Raw genomic sequence first — 23063 nt, forward strand, 5'->3', positions numbered from 1 at the left:
AACATACGATGGTTCAAAGGATGGTACAAAGCGATACAGAATTCTCTTCCAAACTGTAGTCCAGACCAAGGGTACAATTCAGCGGGAAGAATGTTCCTGCAAACATAAGCCTGGACTGCAAAATCATTAACCTACCCAGAGAAATACAGGGAGGGACCCTTCTGCCACCAGTGTAAACACTTTTCTAAACAAAGCTGGTAGATATTTTCTAAACATTGTTTTTTATGCCTAACTAAATGTGCATCATACTTTGGAAGTACTTCTAAGGCAGTGGTCTCCATCCTCTTTGGCACCAGGGACTGGTTTCATGGAAGACAAGTTTTCTAGAAGACCAGTAGAAGCGGGAGAAGCAGGGGCATGGTTTCAGGATAAAACCGTTCAGATCATCAGCCATTAGATTCTCATAAGGAGCATGCAACCTAGATCCTTCGCATGCACAGTTCACAATAGGGTTCAAGCTCCGGTGAGAATCGAATGCCACCACTGATTCAAGAAGAAGTGGAGCTCAGGCAATAACACTGGCTCTCCCATGGCTCATGTCCTGCTGTGTCACCTGGTTCCTAACAGGACACTGACTGGCACTAGTCCATGGCCCACAAGGTGGGGACTCTTGTTCTAAGGTGCTGGTTGAAAAATGCAGATTTTGCAGCATTGCTCCCTGTCCTGCTCCTACCCCCATCTTCCTACACACACAGGTTCCAATTTAATAGGTTCAGGTAGAGCCCAGAGATATGCATTTTGATCAGCATCCAGCCAGTTTATCTACTGCTCATCTCTAGACCACACTTGCACAAACTGTGCTTTGCATCTCCATGTAAATATAAATATGTCATATAAAATATGTCATTACGGTTCTCTTATACTAATATATTATACATCTATTATTACAAAAACCCAAAATAGAGATTTTTAAAAGGATGAGATCTTTCAAAATAAAGAGCAGGGCACATACTTTATCTTCATAGTCCAACAGAGGGTGTAGCATACCATCTGCCACCCAGAGTTGAGTGAACCTCTGGCCTTGTACCCTAAGATGCATCCCTGTCTTATGAACTTCTGGGAGACAGGAGGTTGGGTGGAATCTGTACTGGCTCAGTGCTTAGGCTCATTCTCTGTGGCCACCATTGTTCCCCTTCAGACAGGTCAGTAAATCAATCTCCATGGCTTTGAAAGAAGAGTAGACAAGTTCTGCAGGTGCGCTGTGGAAAATTTATGCAACACCAGCATTGGCAGTGAAGTGACGATCTTGAAAAATATTAGTTATGCTATACCATGGCAACCCCACCTCAGGTGCATGAATATGCAGTGTCACTCATGACACATTTGGAAATTCTGCCTGAGTGATGATTTAAATAAAATGTGAAGTCCAAGTGTCATTCATTTCTGCTTTTAAACAGGACTTTAAAACTCATATAGGAAGTGTTAAGAATTGTGATTTTGACTTTAAGAAAAAGGTAGAAGTTTGTTAGTAACCTATATGTGAGTGCTTTAAAGTTTCAAAAATTATATTAAAATTAAAATGGATGAACACATCCATCCTGAAAGAGAACAAGATGTTATTTCACTTAAAGAAGAGATAAATCACTTAAGTGACACTTTTGCGTTCCTAACTCTACATGAAATACTGATTAAAAACCTAATGTGCCAGGTACTGTGCTAGGGGCGAGGAGTAAAAAGATGAATAAGATGGCATCCCTATGTCCTAGGAAAGAAGTGCATGTGAACAATTACTGAGATTTCAAACACAAAAGGCACTGTAAAACAGGCTTGGGACAGTGCTGCAAAGCACTTAGCAGGGAGATCAGTTCTGCACAGGGATGGGGTGACCTGTGAAAAGGAAGTAATTTGGTGACATTTAAAATGGGCTTAGGAGGATCGTTTACTTGACAAATGTATTAGTCTGTTATCACGCTGCTAATAAAGACATACCTGAGACTGGAGAATTTAAAAAGGAAAGAGGTTTAATGGACTCACATTTCCACATGGCTGGGGAGGCCTCACAATCATGGTGTAAGGTGAGAAGGAGAAAAGTCATGTCTTACATGGTGGCAGTAAAGGGAGCTTGTTCAGGGGAACTCCCATTTATTAAACCATCAGATCTCATGAGACGTATTCACCACCATGAGAACGGTATGAGGGAAGCTGCCCTCATGATTCAAATATCTCTACCTGGTCCCAACCTTGACATGTGGGGATTATTACAGCTCAAGGTGAGATTTGGGTGGGGACACAGCCAAACTATATCAACAGAGAAGGCAGGAAAGAGAAATCCAGGCAGAGGAATGAACCACAGTAGGGAGAAAGAATGAATGGAGAAGAGGTGGCTGGCCCCGGTTATAGCCATTGGGAAGCTGAGGAAATGGCAGAGGGAAAGGAACCTGTAAAAAACAACTGAGAAGTTGCAGCCAGAGAAGAAGGAGGGAGGCCAGGAGCATTGGTGTCCTGGAAGGCAGGGACAAGACTAGAGGAAGTGGAGAACAGTGTGAAGTCCTGCTGACAGTAAATGAGTTGGATTTGAGGATACAGAGGTCAAAGAGAATCTTGGCAAAAGCATTTGCTGAGGTACACTGGGGTAGCGTAGACAGAACACAATGTGAATGGTTGGTGATGATGTGAAGACGTGAATCGCCATAATCCTTTCAAGAATTTTGTGGTGAGGGAAAATGAAGATGGAAGTGCAGCTGAGGAAAAATATGGGTTAGGAAGAGCTTCTGCTCCTATTGTTTTAAGATGAGAAGGATCTAAGCATAATTAAATGCTAACAGGAAAGGGCCAATAAGAGGTGAGCCTAGTGAGGCTATGGGAATAAAGGGCAGGAGCACGGGAGAGCTGAGCTCTGGAGGCAGGGAAGGGTCCCTCTTCCCTTGGGACAAAACAGGAGGGCAAAAGAGATGGGTATTGAGGCTGATCCTGGCACAGATTTGGTGGTGAGAAGGCCAATGGCGTTATTTCCTCCAAGAAGGCACAGCCGTTTCCTGAGAGCAGGCTGTGTGTGCAAGTGTGTACATGTGTATGTGCATGGTGCACACACTGGGCTTCGCTAGTGCTTGGAGATTTAAGGACGGTGAAGACACCATAAAGATGTCTCTGGGGATAATTGAAGAGTTCCAGGCTGAGTGAGGGCCCATGTCCCTCTTCTAATCTTTACTGGCCTTAGACCATACAAATATCTGGCTTCTTTGCACTCTCATTTGCAACACGTTGAGTTTGTGTGTTTGTATATATGTATAAATATATGGTCTTGAATTTTCCTGCAGGCAGAATCTCTGGTTTCTCTTAGTACCTAGTAGAGTTCAGACACATAGAATATATTCAATAAATAATTCTTAGTTGATTGAAATACCTTTCAACTCATTATACCCCAGCTTTAGCCAATAAGTAGACTCCAAAGGTGAAAAGCAACTATAATTCTGAGATAGCCCTTCCCTAGGGACAGGGAACTGCAATTGAGTCATCATTTTTAGCATATGGGAATACATATTACGATAAAGAAAGAAGTGTTCTCTGGTCTGACCAATGATGGCTGCATGTCATAACACTGAATGAAAACCTTTTAAAATGCAATACGTTTTGTGCTTTACCTATTTCCTCTCCATTAACACACAAACATATGCACACTCATGCACACAAATGCACACATATGTGCACATCTGCGGGTGCACACCACTACCAAAACCCAAACATCTTTTTGCTCCTTAGATGGCTGGCAGCGTGAATTTTCTGTAATGTAAACGAAGAAGTGGTGGGCAGGATAAAGGGTTAAGTAAGGATCTCTAGTAATGCTCCAACTTGTTCTTTGAGGAGTAACAAAGAGAGGAAGCACAGGCTTTGTGGAAGGAAATTCCCAGGCCCCACTTCGGACATTCGCAACCTGCCCTGTGAACCTCTGAGGGGTGTCTGATAATAAACACTTGCAAACAAAACAATCCATGAAGGCATTTTTACTAACATTCTCACATTCTCACCAAAGGGCTACAGCACATTTTCCTGAATCTGCGGACCTTGGAGGGGGGACCTGGACATCCACCTGCCAGCAGAGGCCAACAACCCAGTCCCTGCTCAGGCTGGTGTTTGTACGTGCAGGTCCCCCTTGCTCCTTGGGCCTTTGATTGGGCAGGGGTGGTGATGGGGCTGTGGAATGCAGATCACAGACTCAACACCGGACAGGATGTGTGTGGACTGCTGTGTGCAGACCTGAGACCCACCTCTTCATCTTTCACGGAGACCCCCAGACATAGCCCTGAGCATTGCAACTTTGAGTAATAATGCAGTGACCTTCCCCAGGAGTAGAAGGAACTTGACAAAGGCATGAAAAGCTTTGCTTGTAAAGTGTGCCAATTAAGTAACAAATTGGCCTTCTTTTCCTGTAGTAGCAAAACAAACAAATAAAACCCCTGGAGACTTGACAGTAAATATTTGTGCACAAGTTTCTTGTAAGAAGCTCAAAACATGTTAGGACCAAGATGCAAAAACTTAAGCAAAAGTCTAGTTTGGGTGAGATTATTTGTAATATTATACCTTATTTATCCCCAAACTAATAGGATGTGAGATCTGTTATGCCCATTTCATCAATGAATAAATAAAGGATCAGAAACTGGCCTAGAATAATAGTAAAGTTCTGGGTGATTCAGGTATCTGATACTTGCTCTAGTGAGTGTGTGTGTGTGTGTGTGTGTGTGTGTGTGTGTGTGTGTATGTGTGTGTTTATTGGGGCTGTGTGTACACAGATTTATGGCTTTTTTAAAACAAAATATTCTTAAAATCACTTTATTAATTGCAATTCAAGCCAAGATCCTCAAACAGCATCGCTGTCTCAGGTCTAGACCAGAATTCACTTCACAGTACGGGTGAGATTTAGATCCTTGACTACAAAAAGAAAGCTGACGCTTTACTTTTGAATTGCCGTCACCGGTCTCTGGAATATTTTTGGATGACTACTCATTTGCATCTGTCCAGAGTTGGCGGGCAATCTCCCTCTTGACCCCAGCCCTCAAGACCACATTGATCCAACCGAGGTGATGACAGGTTCCAGATTTTACTCTAGGCGGGGTTAACATGAGCCTCTACTCAGGCCTCCTTCTGTCCTTTGTGCTACAACAATGGGCGGAAACACAGCCTTGTTAGAGGAAATTCCCAGGGCCATGCTTTGGACATGAGACAGTGGCTTTGCTATGCTGGGTAGGCTGATGCGCATCTAAAAATAAATACCCTGGTCTGCAAGGGTTTCTATGATTTTGTCATGTACAGTTGATTACATTTCAAAGGATTTTTTTTAATTAGTGTTTTTAAGAAAGCTAACTTAGGTAAGCCTTGAGAATAAAATATATCATGGCTTTGTTTCGGTCTGAAAACATATAGCATTTGCTTATAACTGTTTCTGTTGAAAGGACTGCTGCTTTCTTCCCCCAGGATCTCAAAGTGAGATTGAAGAAAGCAAAGGCATGCTGAGATGCTGCCCAAGCATGGTCAGAAACATGTGAGGGTCCAGAACTGCAAGTTCTTTGAGTCCACAAAGGATAAAGTATTAACAGAAAGCTCTGGGGCTGCCTGGAGTGGTTGCTGATGTGTATAGGGTCTACCTAAGCCTAAGTCTTACTTCTCTAAAAGTTTCCAGATCCCTACTTCACAAAGAGACTGCTCTTGAGGTGGTTCATGTAGCAGAAAAGGAAAGATGGGTAGAAGGCAGTGGCCAGTGAACTTGACTCACAGCAGGCAGACAGTTCCAGCCAGCTTTCTTCTCTCTCCAAAAGTCAAATATTCCATTCATAGTCCTTGCAACTTAGAAGATGGTAGAATCAGTTTCTTTTTCACATTTTAAAGTTAGACCTCGGAATGGCTAGGAACCCATATCCATGTAGTCATATTTCCATTTTAGCTAGAGGAGAAATCAGGGCCAAAGCTCTGAGTCTTGCTGTTATTTGCCTGACTCTACTTGAGCTGAAAATGTACAGAAATGTGGCAGTTTTCCATCAAATAGGAATGTGTTTGCAGCACAAGAAGTAACCCATAATTTAGTTAAAGAGTAACCCAAGAAGAGTGGTTTACAGTGAAGTTTTCCCTCCTCATTGTTCTCGTTTCTTTTTTGCTCTTTCCTGGAAGTCCAGCCTACTCCATTGTTACTAAGACCCTATTTTAAACTTACTGCAGCAGATAGGTAGGGCTAGCTGGTGAAAAGTCAGCTATCCTCACTCTAGCCTGATGATATTTTTTGCAGACCTTCATTTGGTGGCTTGGATCACCGCACTGACATCACGAGACTCTTGATAGCTTTGAGCGGGAAGGGACCTTTGAGGTCATCACCCGGACTCCACCCATTATGGGCATCCCTTTGGGAACACCCTGGCCACTAGTCCATCTTCCAGGGTGCTGGAACATTGCCCGGGACAAGGCGTTCACCACACCACAAGGCAGCTCACTCATTTTTAGATGATTCTGATGGTGGGTAAATCCTTCCACACATTGAGCTGAAATCTGTTGCGCTATAATTTCCACCCATTGATCTTCTGTTGGCCTTCCCTTTTCCCACACAGAGCAACCTTTAAATATTTAAAAGCAGCCCTCATGTGCTCAAGATGTACTTCTTACTTTAATTGTCCCCTGAATGATCCTTCAACTGTTTGGTGAATGACAGTTTTCTCATTTTCACCATCTTGGCCAACCTCCTCTTTTAAGACCTGGTGTTTTTTGTTTTTTGTTTGTTTTGTTTTGTTTTGAGACAGAGTCTTGCCCTGTCGCCAGGCTGGAGTGCAGTGGCACAATCTCAGCTCACTGAAACCTCCGCCTCCCGGGTTCAAGCAATTCTCCTGCCTCAGCCTCCTGAGTAGCTGGGACTACAGGCAAGCACCACCACATCCAGCTAACTTTTGTATTTTTAGTAGAGACGGGGTTTCACCGTGTTAGCCAGGAAGGTCTCGATCTCTTGACTTCGTGATCCGCTCACCTCAGCCTCCCAAAGTGCTGGGATTACAGGCATGAGCCACTGCGCCTGGCTGACTTGGTGTTTTTTTAAAGGAACCTATTTGGCACTTTAGATAATTAATCTTCTTACAACTTTGTGCACTAAGTATTAGTTCATATTTTCAGAAACAAAGACTTGGCAAGATACAATCACTTGTTCAAGACAGGAGATTAAAAACCAGGTCTGCCTCTTTCTAGCCCACAACATGCCTCTCATTAAAAAAGAAATATTGAGCCAGATATAGTCCAGGCTGATCTCAAATTATAGCCTGAGATCTGTGGCAGGCCACTGGAAACCTCTCATGCAGGTTAATATCCCTTTTGTTATTACGACGTGTGTTTATTGACAGAGATTAAGGTGAACTTGAGTGGGTAAGAAATTACCAGCAGAAAACATTCAGTTGCTGAAAGGCAGCTGTAGACAAGGTGGGCATGGTGGAAGCCTGGAGGCAGAAAGGCATAGGAGCAACACGAAGCAAGAAGGGATTCTAGAGGTGCAGGAGGCATCTCATTTGGAAGCTCTGGACAATGGAGGGAGAAGAGAAGAAGGCTGGAAGACAGAAATAGCTGTCCCTTGAGAGCGCCTCGGCAGTTTACTTCAGCCTAAACCTGCTGGCTGTGTCTGTTTGCTTTCTCCCAAGTGTCCATGTGCTCTATGGAAGGGCAAAGCATGGGGGAAAATGATACTATGCCCTTCTCCACCATTTGATTCTAGGTGAAATATGGCTAAGACACAAATCTTTGGGTGGAAAAAGGAGAATACCACATGTAGTCAGAAAGGGAATCCTTTTAGCTGTGCTGCAGTGAGGGATGATGTCAGGAACTGGCTATATGTCTACGTGCTTCTAGGTTTTTCCTGCACCACTTGGTAGAGCTACTTCCTCCTCTTTTCCTGGCTGCTTTCCTAAAGCAGGGACTGCTTAATGGAGGCCTTTCCTCCCTCCTCATCTAACCTGCTTCAAAGCAGCTCTGCACCCAGCAATGAATGTCTCATGGATTTCTCTGAGTTGCAGGGCACTGCTCTCCAGGAGTCACGGGCAAACTGTGCTGTTGGGGAATTACCAAAGCACAATGTTAATGTCAATGGCTGAACATGTGGGCATAGTAATAAAATGGCTCTCTTAAGATCTCTTCGAGCTGGCTTGACTCAGAGAAATACAGAGCACCGCCTTCCAAATTACCATGAAGCATGAGAGAATGTGAGTGCAGAGGCTCTGTGGATATGGTCTTCTCTTTGCACTCTGAAATCAGGGATTCTCTCCCCTGTAGCTCTCTGTCTTTTTCACCACTTGAAAAACTCAAGGTTCAGAGAAAAGTTGTGGACCCACCCAAGGGTCACATGGCAAGATAGTTGCAGGTACAGGACCAAATGTGGGGCCCCAAAGCACAGTTCAGCTGTCTTTCTATTGAACCACACTGACTTCAAGCTTTAAGCTCTCGAGGCCTTTACTTGGATGTGCCAGCATTTGTTAGGGATCAAGCTTATTTCAGTTTTCCTTAATACTTCCATGAAAGAGAGGTAGCATAGAGGATGACAAAAAGTAAGTCCTCCAGATGAGCGCTGCATGGAGGCAGGACTCACATCTATATTGTTTGCCATCATATCCCTAGCACATAGCACACTGCCTGCCCTGTGAAAGGGACTCAGTGAGTCCTTGACTTCGAGTGGCAGAGAATGAGGGGCACTGACAGGGAAACAACTAATGAAAGAGGCTGTCACATAGATGTAAAGAAGTAGATTCTAAAAGGCATGGCACATGGAAAGTACTCAAAATATTTGGTGAGTAAATGAATCCAGCAACATTTCAGAAAGAAGAGTGTGGGAAAATGCTATAGGGATTAAAAATATCCTTGGAAGATTCAAACTATAGATCTCGATCTGATAATTAGGGTTTTTCAGACAATGTACACATTCATTTGCTCATTCATTCATTCATTTAACAAAATTGATTGAGCAGAAGCTATGTGCCCAAAACTGTGCCAAATGCTATGGGTTTAGACATAGAAGACCAATAACTCCTCAAGAGTCAAAATAAATATAGCAACTATCACTTAATGTGCTTAGGGATATGTCAAAACATTCCACTAAGTACCAGAAAAATAGCAGACCTGAGAACCGCTTAGTAGAAGATGGATGGAGGGGAATGAAGGTGTACAAACCAGGCCTTAATGGGCAATTGGGTGGGGAAGATGAATAGAGGTGTCCCAGGCAGGGAGGACAGCACACACAGAAATAGGCAGGCATTAGAGCATTCAAATATTAGGGAAATGCAAGGTACTTAGTTTAGTTGCAAAGTCAGATACTGAGAGGGTGAGGCTGGCAGGATGATAAGGAGCCGACTTTTGATTTTTCTACCTTCTTTAAGTGAATGCTTCTCAAACTTTAATGTGCATATGCATCACCCAGGGATTAAAATGCAGATTCAGTAAATCTGGGGAGGGAATAAAGAATTTGTTCCCAAGTGATCACTCCCAACTGATGCCTGATGCAGCTAGTCCTTGGACTACACTTTAGGTAGCAAGGCTGTAAGCAACAGAGTGCAATAGAAATATTTCACTGAGGTCGGGCACCATGGCTCCCGCCTATAATCCCAGCATTTTGGGAGGCCAAAGTGGGCAGATCACCTGAGGTCAGGAGTTCGAGACCAGCCTGGGCAACACGGTGAAACCCCTTCTCTACTAAAAATACAAAACATAGCTGGGCGTGGTGGTGCGTGCCTGTAGTCCCAGCTACTTGGGAGGCTGAGGCACAAAGATCACTTGAACCCAAGAGGCAGAGGTTGTGCTGAGATTGCACCACTGTACTCCAGGCTGGGCGACAGAGTGAGACACAGTCTCAGAAAAAAAAAATTATATATATATAGATATATGTGTATATATATATATATATATATATATATATATATATATATCTCACTGACAGTGGCATTATTAGAATTGCATATTCCCAAGACCCCTGTAGCAGGGTATGGAAGATAGAATGGAGGGAGACTGTATTGAGGTAAAATACATAAGTGGTAAGAAATTATGAGCATCGGAACTAAATAAGCTAGAAAAGAATAGTAAATGTTCAATAAATAGGTATGAATTGTTTGATATTCCATGAAGTCTGTATAAATTATTTCTCTTAGAGTAAAGGCTGGTTGTGAAGACAAAATGAAACAATAAAAACATAAGATGACAAAAAAATCCAGAGAAATTTATAGTGGTACTTAAATAAGACCTGGCTCCTCTCTGAGTCTCAGTGACCTATCATCTTGAGCCTCAATGGTGACCAACAAGAGCACCCAGCTAAGGAGTGAGCACCATCCCTGCAGACAACCACCACCACAAGCCTCCGAGACATCCCTGGATATTCGTTGTCACTACTGGTATTGAATTTCAGGAAACCTCGGGAATAACAACTGTTTAACCACAAATTCTAGAAAATAATGTGGAAGTCCACCAGATCCCTGAACAAAGTACTCTTTTTTTTTTCTTATAGCACATAGGCACTCTAAATTAGGAACACCCGTTCCTATTTCTGTTAGCAAATTCTCTGTCAAATCTACTATTTAACTGAAAACCTCAGAAAGGAGTAATAAAGAAATCATGGTAGAGGTCTATACTATTAAAAAGAAAAGGCAGTTAGTAAAAATTACCCCTTATGCAGAAGCCAAAAAAAAAAAAAAACTACTTCTAATGAGATTTGCACTCCAAAGAAAATAAGAATCGACACCATGATCTATATACTGGCTGGCATTCTTTATCCAAAGATGTACAGATTTGAAAAATCCATATGTCATATCCCATCTCACTATTTGCCCCTCACAGTCTTGTAAATCAGTAAATCTCCACAAGACACACAGGTTGAGAGCGTGAAGCCAGCTAGAAAAGCCACGTGGAAATGCACATCTATTCCAGAGCAGCCGGATTCACATTTAACATGGCAAATCAAAACGATGCAGGTACCTACCTTTCTCTTCTGGAGTTTTCAGGCTTCTAAAATTTAACACCTTACTGCTGATCTGCCCAAAACCCTCTCAGGTGAGGTGAACCTCGAGGGCATCCCATTCAATCACACAGCCAGAGGAGGGTGGGGTTTCACAAGACCAGACTTCAAATGCTGGGGCTCTTGCGGGTTCCCAGGCTGTCGGGAGCAGAGGTGAACTGCCTTCTGTTCTCTGCTGCAGGAAGAAGACGGGAGACACTGACTGACTGGAGGTGGGGGGCGGGGGCTTGGGGGAGGGAAGTAATATGGGGACTGTAATAAATAAGAGATCCTCTCCACATGATTTCCTATATTTGGTGCCTGATGCCTCTCTCCAGGCTCCCTAGAGGAAACAGGAAACTTGTCCTCTGGCCACTGGAAAGAAGAGAATAAACATACTGAGAACTGTGAAAAGAAGCAGCAGGACCCCAGGCAAGGAGCTGATGGGCCAGCCAACTTTACCTTTTACCAAGTGCTTTCTTCCTGAAGTTCCTCTAAGTGTTTAACTCTGTAAAAGTCAAGAATGTCCTCATCTTCTTCCACTGAGCTGGAGCATATTCTGGCCCCAGTCCAGATGTCATATTACAGAGCAGCTGATGACAGGCAGGTTAGAACAGGCCCTGGAAGAATCCATTCCCAGCCTCAGGCAAGACCCCCTAAGCTCTGTCTTTGGAAAGTCTGATCTTTCTTAATCTTGGACTGACTCCAAAGCCCTCAGGCCATTTTGCCTTAGAGTTTAAAGAATTATCAGGAGGCCACCATCCGTGGAGTGAAGTAGGACCCTCTACATTATTTATGGGGTTTCATGTAAAATGAAAATGTGATGCCACTCATTTGAAAATTAAGAATTTCAAGATGGTGACAATAGAACATTAAAGCAAGTGTGGGGACTCTCTGGAGCACAGGGCTCTATGCAACTGTACCAGGCCGTAGACTCACCAAGCCAGTCCTGGCTGTAGAAAGAACGTGGGAACTCTGGGCCATGTGGATTTTCACAAGCTGAGTTGTTGAGAGACCTGGACTACCTCCATTGTGTTCAGCAGGGTGACAGTCAGTCCTCCAACAGCAGCACACTTGGAAGCTGCTGCAAGGCAGCAGAGGGGGAGGAGGGTGGATGCTGGGTTGCGGGTGTGAGCAGGCAAAGACCACAAACACATCACTGAGTAAAAATCACACAGTGGTCTCCTTGCCCATATTTTCCCTCACTTCCTATCCATTCTCCTCTCAGCAACCAGGGTAATGTCTCTCAAATGCCATCTTCATGGTGGGATTCCCATGCTTAAAATCTTTCAGGAGCTTAAGGATATAGGTCAAACCCTTAAATGCACAATGGCCAATCTCTTCTACTTTCCCTCAAAGCCCACTTTCACCTGTGCTCTCCTCATGCCCTTTCTCATTCCCTCCTTCCCCACCTCTCTCCACTCAATGAAGTATGTCCTCCCCTCCAAGATCCAATTCCTTGAATCTGACATCCTTCAGAATGCATTTTCCAATTTCTGGGCCCCTTTGGTGTTCTTCCAAGCAAACCATGCTTGTCTCTCTCATAACACTAAAGCAAGGAAGCCTGCCTACTTGTCTCTCTGTCTCCTGCTGGGCTGTCCCTCTGTGAGGTCAAGGACTGTGTCTGCTTCACCATTATATCCCTAGCATCCAGGACCCAGCAGTGTCTGGTTTGTGTGGGTTTAATGTTAGGAGGAGGAGCGTCATCAACTACAGTTATTGCTGGGTGCGATGGTGCGCACTTGTACAAGTCCCAGCTACTCCGGTGGCTGAGGCAGGAGGATTGTTGGATCCCAGGAGTTTGAGACCAGCCTGGTCTCAAAATAAAATCAAATTAATTTTTGATTAATTTAAAAATAAAATCAAATTATTTTTGATTAATTTACAAAATAAAATCAAATTAATTACAGTTATTACATGTTAGGGAAAGGAGAATATATGACTTAGAGGAAAACACAAGACTGTTGTTATAGTTTTACAAAGTGGAGCAACTTCACGGGTGATATTGCGGAGCTATTGCTGAATATTATGAAAATGCTGCAGTTTGTCATATGCTGTGTATTGCTGCCTCACAGAGATTATTATAAGCAGGCAACAACCTCTATTCAAAAAGTGAAGTCTTAGATAATGCCCACAAGAAGGAGGACTAAAGTTAGCAAGGGTGAATGAAATGGGAGTCTGTTGGAGGTGAGGGGAGAGAGAGGGAGAAAGAAGGGGCAGTGGAAAGGAAAGAGGAAAAGAGGAGGGAGGGATATGGGAGGAAGGATAAAGACAGGAGAAGTGGGAAGAAGCACATGAATGGAACAAAGCTTAGAAAACAGTGAGGTGGTGGGGAGGGGAGGAAAACCCCTGTGAAGTCAGCATTTATCTGGAAGCAGTGCACCACAGGCAGGCTCTGTGCACCCTGCCTGACTCTCCTGCACTTTCTCAGGCTCCCCGATGAATCAAGCCTGTTTTTCTAGAAGTCAAAAGGCAAAAGGGGGTCTAGGGACATGCCACGACCGCTCTTAAAACACAACAGTTAGCTTCTGCATTTTGTTTGGACTTTGAAACATTATTAAACCACATAGTCATTTTTTATTTCATGATTTTGAATACTTCCATGACAATATTACGTCTGGAATTTCTAAGCATATATTCTGGTTACTTTTCATGGTTCCCCTGAATCAAGAGGTCACTTTGTGTGTTGACGAGGACTGTATATGAGTGAGAAGCCCCAGGTGAGGCTGGATGATTGGAGTACAAGCTGCAGTAACAAGACCCATACTCTATCATCTGTAAAGGTAATCAAAACATAGGTGATTCTCAATATCTGGTTTTGTGCATTTAATTGTCATTTAATATATGCATCTATCTAGAACAAAGCAAAGATATTTATTAAGCCAATCATTTGAACTTACTTTATGAAGTCTCAATTTGGTTCCTAATTAATGGATATTACTTCCATTGGAAATGGAAGTGTCAGAAAAAATAGTGAAAGGCTTTAAAATAGGAAAAGATGACTGGGTGTCCTGTCAACAGAGTGTTGAGAGTTTTCTAGCAAACAACTTACAGCTGGAGAGCTGAATCTATAGGGGTCTCTACATTTGATCATCTTTGACTGGATGTTTAATAATTCTGAAGGACGTAGAAACTAATAGTAATACAAATGATTTTTGACCATAGAAATGCACATTAGTTTTGTCCAGTAGATATATAATTGCCTTCCACCCTATAGAAATGGTTATTTCAAACATTAAATTTTAGTGCACGTTAGGATATTAGCCAGTTTTTGTAGCTCTTAGCAAACTCAGTTCAGCATTCCTGATTGTCTCTATATAAATATATCTGCTCTTGGGATTTCCCTTTGAATAAGTTCTAACGTTTTACCACTCCCTTCATTAATTAATGAGTTAAATAAAATCTCTTTCACATGTCATTTTATATTGGAGTCAGGATTTCACCTTTTGAAAATGGTCTTTTAACAGAAGGCAGGTGATAGTGCTTACAGCAAGTTGTATCAGGAATTTTCAATGGCAAAACTGTTTTCTTAAATATTTGGCCTATTTTTATACGTTCCTTGAGTATGTAAAATAAAAACAGGGAATAAACTAAGTGTGTTGATTATGAAAGTGAATGACAAAGTGATATCAGCTGAACAATTAGGTGTGTACAGAGTTTCAGTTAGGGCAGGAGTACAGGCAAAGCCCAAAGCAGAACTATGTAAAACAATAACTGGACACGGGTTTACTAAATATGGTGAAAGTGGCCTAGGTTTGGACTCACTAAAACCAGTACCTTGGAGGAAAGAAAACCTTGATAAGCAAAGGGCATACATTTCAGGTGTTCAGTATTTTTTAAGACAGTGTTTTTAGGAATTCTTGCCACATAGGCAACTATTCAGAAATGTCCTACTATCAATCAGCTATAGCAAAGCGTTCAACATAGGGGACAGTGACATTTTGAAAGGAATAAATCAGAAAACATAAATATATTTGTGTGGTTTGGTTTCTCTTTAATTTTTATATTTGCTGTGTTTTTAGTGTGTGTGACTTACAATCTATATTTTTAAATATCAAAGATATAAAATAATTTATCTTTAAGGATCGGTCTGGCCAATCAGTTTGGTTTGACTCACTAAAGCTCTTAGTACCAGATCAGCAGCCAAACATAAGGCCTTTTTGTTTTGTTTTGTTTAATTTTTATTTTCAAAATGAATTTGCCATTAATTCTGTAATTTAGAGCAGGGGAAATGACTTATCTAACAGCTCAGTGTGGAAGTTTGGAAGTTTGGAAGTTCCTGAGAACAGTGATTCTTGATTTTGGAGTAATCATGAGAACTATAAATGATCAATGGCAAATAATACAACAAATGTGATCTACGAGGTGCTTAAAGATCACTTCCCACAAACGTGTGGCTCTTTCTGCAAGAACCATGAGTAGACTTGTGAAGGGAGACTCCATCACAGACTGACACACGAGCTTTGTCTTCACCTGCATTAGAGGTGAGGCTCTCCTTTCATTGTCAGTTTTTCTCTGCCAACTACTAATATCACATTTGTCATTGAAGATGGAGCTCTAAGAGGGGACTATTAAGGAGCTCTATAACTTTCATTATTTCACATAAAAATAAAAAGGAAGTATGGACACTATAATATTAAACCCGTCAAAGAAGGAATAAACATGTAAAACATCAGTAGCATTGTTCTTGGGAAAAAAGGAATGTTGGCCTAAAGAAGGGCAACTGACAGCTATCATATATTTCCCTTAAAACTAAAGGTGTTAGGGAAAGAGAGAGAGAGAGAGGGAGAGAGGGAGGAAGAGGGACAGAGGATGGAGAAAGGAAGGAAGGGAGGAAGGAAGGAAGGAAGGAAGGAAAAGAAGGAAAGAGAAAGAAGGGAAAGAAAGAGAGAAAGAAGGGAAAGAAAGAAAGAAAGGGAGAGAAAGAGAGAGAGAAGGGGAGGGAAGGAGGGAGGGAAGAAAGGAGGAAAGAAAGAGGGAGGGAGGAAGGGGAGAGAGAGAAAAGAAAGTGAAGGAGGGAGGGAGGGAGAGTGGGAAGGAAGGAAGGAAAGAAGGAAGGAAGGAAGTAGAGGAGGGAGGGAGGGAAGATGAGGGAGGGAGGGAAGATGAGGGAGGGAGGGAGGGAAGCAAGGAAGGAGGGAGAAAGGGAAGGAAGAGAGGAAGGGAGGGAGGGAGGGGACATACATACATACATAGATTAAACCAAGTGTTTTAGGGAACTAGGGATTCTCAAATCCTGCTTAGTGTTTTGGGAAGAATTAGAAACTCTCACACACTGCTTGGTGAGTATAATTCAGTAAACCACTTTGGAGAGCAGTTTCACAGTGTCCAGGATAGTTCAAATTTCTAGTCACATCATATATTCTAGAAAATTCTTGCCTATATATACAAGGAGAAACACAAGAGTGTTCAACTGCAACACTCTTCAAAATAATTATAATACAAATATATATATATGCATCATAGAAACATTAATAGAAAAATTTTGATATTATTACAGAAATAATAAATTAAGTCTGTATGTATCAAGATGGATGGGGAAAAATACATGTAAAAGTTTTTTAAAAAGCCAGAGGGAAAAAGATCAGTTGTAGAAAAAATACATATACAATGCTATATATTGAAAAGCTACACAATACAGTCTAGGAGGAAGAAGGCATGAAATAGGACTAAACAGGGAATAAAGAGGTTTTTCTTTGTATTCTATGTATGAAATAAAAAAGAAAAAAAAGTCAAAATACCAATGTTTAATTCTGCATGGTGTGTAATACAGATGCTTGTTTTTCTCTGTAGGTTGTCTTTTAAAGAAAGAGAAAGAAGTCACTAAACTATTATTTCGAAAAACAGACTCATTTTGAGTCATAGAGTAGACACGTTCTTTTTCACTCTTTATTTACAACTGAGGTAGAAAAAAGTTTCTAGAAAAAGAAGCCTAGGAACAATCATAATTATCTTCCGTCCTTGATGAAATGGCAGTACTGTCCTTAGCTCCATCTCAGATTCACTCACTCTTTCCACGTGAAATGAAACCTCGTGTCCTTAGAGTTAAGGACAAGCATCCTGCTTGTTAGGGAAGCTGATTACTGCGTTTACTGACAGCTTGGGGTTGTCTACTCCATACACCCTTTACTATTCAACACAAGGTGATTTGCTGAAGTAGAACAAAAGTCATTGGCATTGGAGAGCTCAAGGAAGTGAGAAACATCTTAAAAGGGAGGATGTTCACGAGAGAATGTGCGAAACCTCAATAACTACACCTAAACATTTCCCAAAGACGACTCGCTTTAAAAATCTCTGTATCTTTGGAAGTTTGAACTGGATATGATTATATTTAGTTGATGTAAAAAGGAATTTGTCTTTAACAACTAGACTTAGGCATTCTGCATCAGAGTATAAACCCTGTTTGTTTTGTTTGGGTCGTTGGTTTGGTTCGTGGAGTTCAGCAACAAACCAACGTGGATTGGGAATACAACAAAACGCTTTTTTTTTTCTTTTTGTTATAGGGGTAGAGGAGGAAGCTGTGGCTTTTTGAAAAAATGTCCTAAATTTCTCTAACCTCTGGCTTTCATATTAGGCAAGGGATGGCCCTGGTCTCAGCTTCACACCAAACTTTGCCATTTGGTGACTCAGATGGAGAAGTCAAACAAGCAGAGGCCATGTCTTTTTAAAGATGTGACTGTGGGAAATCACCTCACCACCCAAGAGACATTACAGTAATAATGTCAAAGCCCCTGGTCATGCAGGTCTCCCTGGGTCTCTGCACCCTGAATTGCTTCCTCTTGAGACATTTCTGTGCCCCACCAGCTTGCACAATGCAGAATGAGTTCAAGGCTTCCTTCCCTGTTGGAGCCTCTATCTTCAGATTCCCTTCCATCTTCTTGGGTGTCCCTCTGGTCACCGTGCCTGCCCCAAGAGGCACAAATTATTTCCATTCCTTGTCAGCCCTCCATTCCTTTCATTCTTATCCACCATTCTTGCTCTTCCACTGTTCCCTGAATACTGGCACCTGGCTCACACTTTTACCCCTCACTCTGCAATTGATGTCTGTCATTTCTGCATCTTCCCTTTTAAGATGTTTCTCACTTCCTTGAGCTCCCCAATGCCAATGACTTTTGTCCTATTTTAGCAAATAACCATGTGTTGTGATTGCTGCGTCCCAGAATGTCAACATCTGGGACTGCTGTAATTTCAAAATAGATGATGAAGTTTGAATTTGTGGGGGCGATGGGGAGGGGATATATTTTGTTACCATCTTTCCTCACTTCTACAGGACCTCTGCCTTTATTGAAAGCCCCAGTTCTTCTGTACCTCCTTCGTAGTCTTCCCACTACTGCAAGCTACCCTTACGTTCCTGCGAAACCCAGATGCCATGGATAGCTATTTAAATACACTCTTTGCCAACTTTTTATTATATCTTTCTTTCTTGACATTCTGCCGTGCTACTGGCAAACTCCAGTGCTGGGGCCCCTAGCAATCCATCTGCCCTGTTCTCTCTGTGACCAGTGGAGAAATACACAAAATATTACTGAAGAGCAACCCACATCCGGGTTCTCACAGCTGCTTCACAAAGATTTCCAGGGCTCAGTAACCTAGCTCTTGAGATTTGACCCCCTCATTACTCCTCAATTCCTTTGCCTGAAAATATGTTTATATCTCTAATTCCAAAATCTTCACCAACAAACCTTACATAATATTTCCTACTCTTCGATCACCATCCTAACTTTTCCCTTTCAGTTTGCCTCCAAACTTCTCAAAAAACTGATTGGTAATCACCCAGACTCTTCCTCCTCTCTTCAAAGCTCTACTAAACTTCTATCTCCCTAAGCCACTCTCTTTAAATGACTTCGGGCTAACAAAAGCTTCTCTACTTCTCATTTATCTCATCCCGAAACTTTTATGTGTCAATTTTTTCTTGAAATTCTTCTCTCATTTTCTTTGCACCTGCCCCACCTAAAATCTCTCCCCTCTACCTGTCTTCTCCCTCCTCATCTGGATATTCTTCTTCATTCCTCTTTAAATAACAGCATTTCCCAAAGTACTTGATACCTGTTCTCCTGTTTTCAGTACCCACCATTCTTCTAGTTAGCAGGTTCAAATCTAAAGTGTGATAACCAGCTTTACTTTCTCCTTTATTTTCCCAGCCCCACATCCTTTCCCCAGGCCGAAGCTAGTCTCCAGGACCTGCTGATCCTCACTCTGGCAGATCTCTTCCATATGTGACTGTATTTACATATCCACTATCACCACTCCATGCCTACATTTATCTCTTCTTGCCTAAACCACTAAGAAATTATCCTTCATCTGTCCTACTCCTGAACTCCATTTTCCCAGTCATATAACCAGGTTAATTTACTGGTTTATTACTAGGTTAATTTCCTTAAAGGACTGCTATTATTTTTATACTCTCTCCTCAAAAATCCTTCCATGATACCTGTGGTGCACTCACACTCTGCCTATTGAATGCCTATTGTCATTCAAAGCTGTCCCAGTCTAAGCCTAGTTTAAGTTTCCAATGCAACTTCCTCTGATCTTCTGTATTTAGCCTTGGCTGCAGATCCAAATGAATCTCCTTCTCTCTCTCCAACAAGCCTTGTCCTTTCCTCTTCTGCAAGGAGCTAGAGTCATTCATCAGAGTCTCAAACAAGTCCACATGCCCAGCATGAAGTCTGTCTCCTCCACAAACCTTTCTGTCATAAATGATGCCAGAAGTAATCTCTCCCATCATTAATACCCTAGAGCACATATTGTCTATGTCACTTTAGTAGCCCTTCTCAGCCTTATGTGTTATCTATTTATGACTTGATAATCCAGCTACTCAAATAATAATAAAAATAATAATATCAAAAACACATTGAGTACTTACTATATGCCCAGCCCTTGACATGGACTAACTTATTTAATTCTCTCCCAAAAAAACAACCCTATGGATGCTTATAGCATTTCCTTTAATATAGAAAAAAAAGAATGGCTGGATCTCCCTTCCCATGTATTGCGGGAAATCCACAAAAGCCCAACCCTCCCACGCTCCATTCCTACGGGATTCTTAGATAAGGGTGTGTGGGGGAGAGTTGCATTCTTCTGAGCTATTCTTGCTGAAGGCTGCACTGGAAATGGCCCTGAATGATTCACCACCTAGCCATCACTCTTGGTCTCCGCAGTTGAACCCCATGTCCTCCATTTCCCCAAAGCCCTATTAATACTGGCTATTAAGTAGAACAGACTTTTATCGAAGATCTGAGAAGGATAGTTACATTACAGAGCTGAAAACCACTTAAATTGTTCCCAGGTCATTATTGTTCTAAAGTCCCTCTCCCACCACTCCACAGGGAATTTTTCTGGTCAATGTTCTCCTCCAGTCTCCATCTACATCATATTGCGTAGCCTCCTCTTCCTTTTTAGAAGCTCCTGGCACTGCCCTCCTTCTTCCTCTCTTCTGGGTCCTATACTTTCACTGCTATGTAAGTTGTTAATTTCTCTCACTTCATGATGCAGAGTAATTCAGCTCTTTTCTTGTTTTGTTCCCACAGTCCAAATGCCCAGGGGGTTTCAGCTTTCACCTCCAAATGACCCAATTAGGATATCTTCTAAAACAAGCATCCATCTTTATGCTATTGCCTTAGAAGGCTGCAATACTTTTATCAATTTAAATGGCAACATTTTATTTTTCTTCCTGAGCTTTTGTATATCTTATCTTCCTGGCATCTAGTGTCTTATCTTTCATACCATTTTTTAAGCATGTTGACTGTGTCTTAACCAAATTTGTATGCTTCTTTGTGCCACATACTTGTTGGGTAACTAAATTAATAAGAAAGAGGATGATAGGAGGCATGAAGACAGTGAGCATTTAGAATGGACAAAGAGAAGGGAACACCAATTTCTATCAATGACTGGAAAAACCTGGAAGGCGTCTTTTTGCAGATGACCCAAACCTGGGAGATAGAAAAGTACACAGAAGTCAAATTCCACAAGGTCTTTAAATTTCTGTACTTTTTCCAGAATGCGCTGTCTCTTTACTTGGGTCTAAATTACTAAATATATTCTGCAAATACTGAACACGTTAGGGAACAATGCGAGGTATTCTCCCCTGACTCTTCTTTTCTGGAATGAGAAGTACAGACGGAATAAGCTGCCTTCACAGTCTGTCTGGGCTGAACCTCATGCCAGGGCGTGGGTAGCACTTGGATGGAAACCACTTCCCCTGGCTTATCATTGTTGAATGATCCTGGAGCTGTTTCGGTTCCTTCCCAGGGGATGGCTTCCACTCTGTCTGCCTCAATAAACTGTCATTTCTTCTCACAGAAACAGTAATTTTCCCAGCTATTAATTCTTCACACCCACTGGAATTTACAAAAACATACCCTTTATTGCTGTCTGAGAATCACGAGGACTCTTTATCTAAGATGTCTTGTTCCTAACCATTCCCAGCACCTGAGAGAGAAAACCCGCCAACAGCACCAAGAATTTGGCAAGTCTCTTCCATACTTGGTCCCAGGTTTTATGCCAGCACTAGGGGCAAATGAGACACATTCTGAACCCAAGCATCTCACGGTCCAAGCAATTTCCCAATTTCATAACTCTTTAAATTTAGAAACACTTTAACGCCAGAGTGTTGACCTCTTTGAGATTCTGAATACAACTTTAAGGTCATTTGGAAAGAATTACTGCCTGCTGTTAGCTCAACAGCCCTCCCCATATTTTCATATCTGATAGAAATTAGGATAAGCCAATTTAGAAGTCACCGAAAATTCAAATCCAAAACACAGTCGTTTATTTGGGAATGCATTTTTAAGAAAAACAAAATTTCTAAAATAATAGCAACAATAATAATTGCTATCCTTTATTGGGTATATATCCTGTACAAGGTACCATGCTGGGTTGAATGATTTTATTTCACTAAATTCTGATAACAATTCTGAAAGGTGGATGCGAGGATTTCCTATCTTTGATAGGAAACTAAAATTCAGAGAGAGAATGTAACTTGCTTATGGTCACTTAGCTATGCTTTAAGAATATATAGAGTGACTTTTTGGCACTCCTAGTAAGTATTGAATGAATAAATGAAGAAATGAATGACTAAATATATAAATCAGTGATTTCCTGAAACAATCTATATGGCCTATTTAATTGTCTATGTGCAAAAAAACACACACATAAAAATTATAATCTTAGTCATAAAATTATACAGAAAATCAATAAATTTGAATTTAAAAGAGATTTTTACATTGAGATCTGATGTTTGAGAGGCACCAGTCTAAGTGGAGGAAGGAGATTAACATTTTTGGGAGACAATTTTAGTCACTTTGAATTTGGCCCTAATTTCACTCAAACACTTTTGGCTTTACTTTTTCTTGATACTAGCGTATCTCCTCACTACTTTCATTGTCACCACATGGCAAGTTTCCTTTGGGCTGTCAAAAGGAACAAAATGAAATATCTCTAATAATAGGTGGCAGAAGTGCAAGAGCAATCATTCTCCACATTTTCTATCTTATGATCCTTCAGTTATCATTAGAGACTCTGGATCAAATCCTAATACAAACAAAAGTTCCAACCCTCCTCCTTCCATCCCCCAGCCCTTCACACCCACTAAGGAGATCGATATGTTCCTAGATACCGATTAATATTGATCTTCATTGATCTTACATTTTAAAGATATACAAAGTAAATATTATTATAGCCAGTAAACATCATTGGTATGGCTCAAAAAATAATAAATCTATGTGTCATAGTATGGAAAAGTGTATAATTTGTTTTAAAACACAAGAGAATTTTCCTTTAAGTTATTAGAATGTAGACTAATGATGTTTAAGGTGTATGTGGAGTTTGAGGAAATATTAATTTAGCAATGTTACTCAATATCCTTACCTAACTTAGACTGTTTCTGTAATTCCTTCACTCTACTGTTCTCAGGGAATCCATGAAGAACTAAGACACGGAAGCTGGAGGCACAGAACTGGTTGGGAAAAAGAGCAGATTCATGACCTGATTTAAAAAATAGGAATCATGAGGGCATAGATATGAGAAAGCAGGTCCAAGGCCATCAAGCGTTCAAAAACTGAATGACTGAGGAGGACAGAGATAGGTGAGTGGTCAAAGGCCTGGCAAAGACCCAGGAACTAAGGGAGCAGCTGGGCAA

General features: G+C 41.5%; 1 protein-coding gene across 3 annotated transcripts in view, besides 1 other annotated feature; it reads right to left on the reverse strand.

The window, feature by feature from the left end:
• Positions 1-11118, reverse strand: part of ADGRF5 (adhesion G protein-coupled receptor F5) — a 102418-nt gene extending 91300 nt beyond the window's left edge. For all 3 annotated transcript variants that reach the window (XM_047418326.1, NM_015234.5, XM_005248893.4), the window contains exon 1: positions 10913-11118. The gene's annotated coding sequence lies outside the window, so the exon portion shown is untranslated. The remainder of the gene's footprint in view (positions 1-10912) is intronic.
• Positions 19005-19631: an enhancer, noted in NCBI's record as "OCT4-NANOG hESC enhancer chr6:46930563-46931189 (GRCh37/hg19 assembly coordinates)". NCBI's record gives its function as "activates a minimal SCP1, AML or CMV promoter by ChIP-STARR-seq in naive H9 embryonic stem cells {active_cell/tissue: H9 hESC(naive)}" and the evidence as "EXISTENCE:reporter gene assay evidence [ECO:0000049][PMID:30033119]".

The sequence above is a fragment of the Homo sapiens genome, chromosome 6 (assembly GCF_000001405.40).
Source record: "Homo sapiens chromosome 6, GRCh38.p14 Primary Assembly".
Classification (NCBI taxonomy): domain Eukaryota; kingdom Metazoa; phylum Chordata; class Mammalia; order Primates; family Hominidae; genus Homo; species Homo sapiens.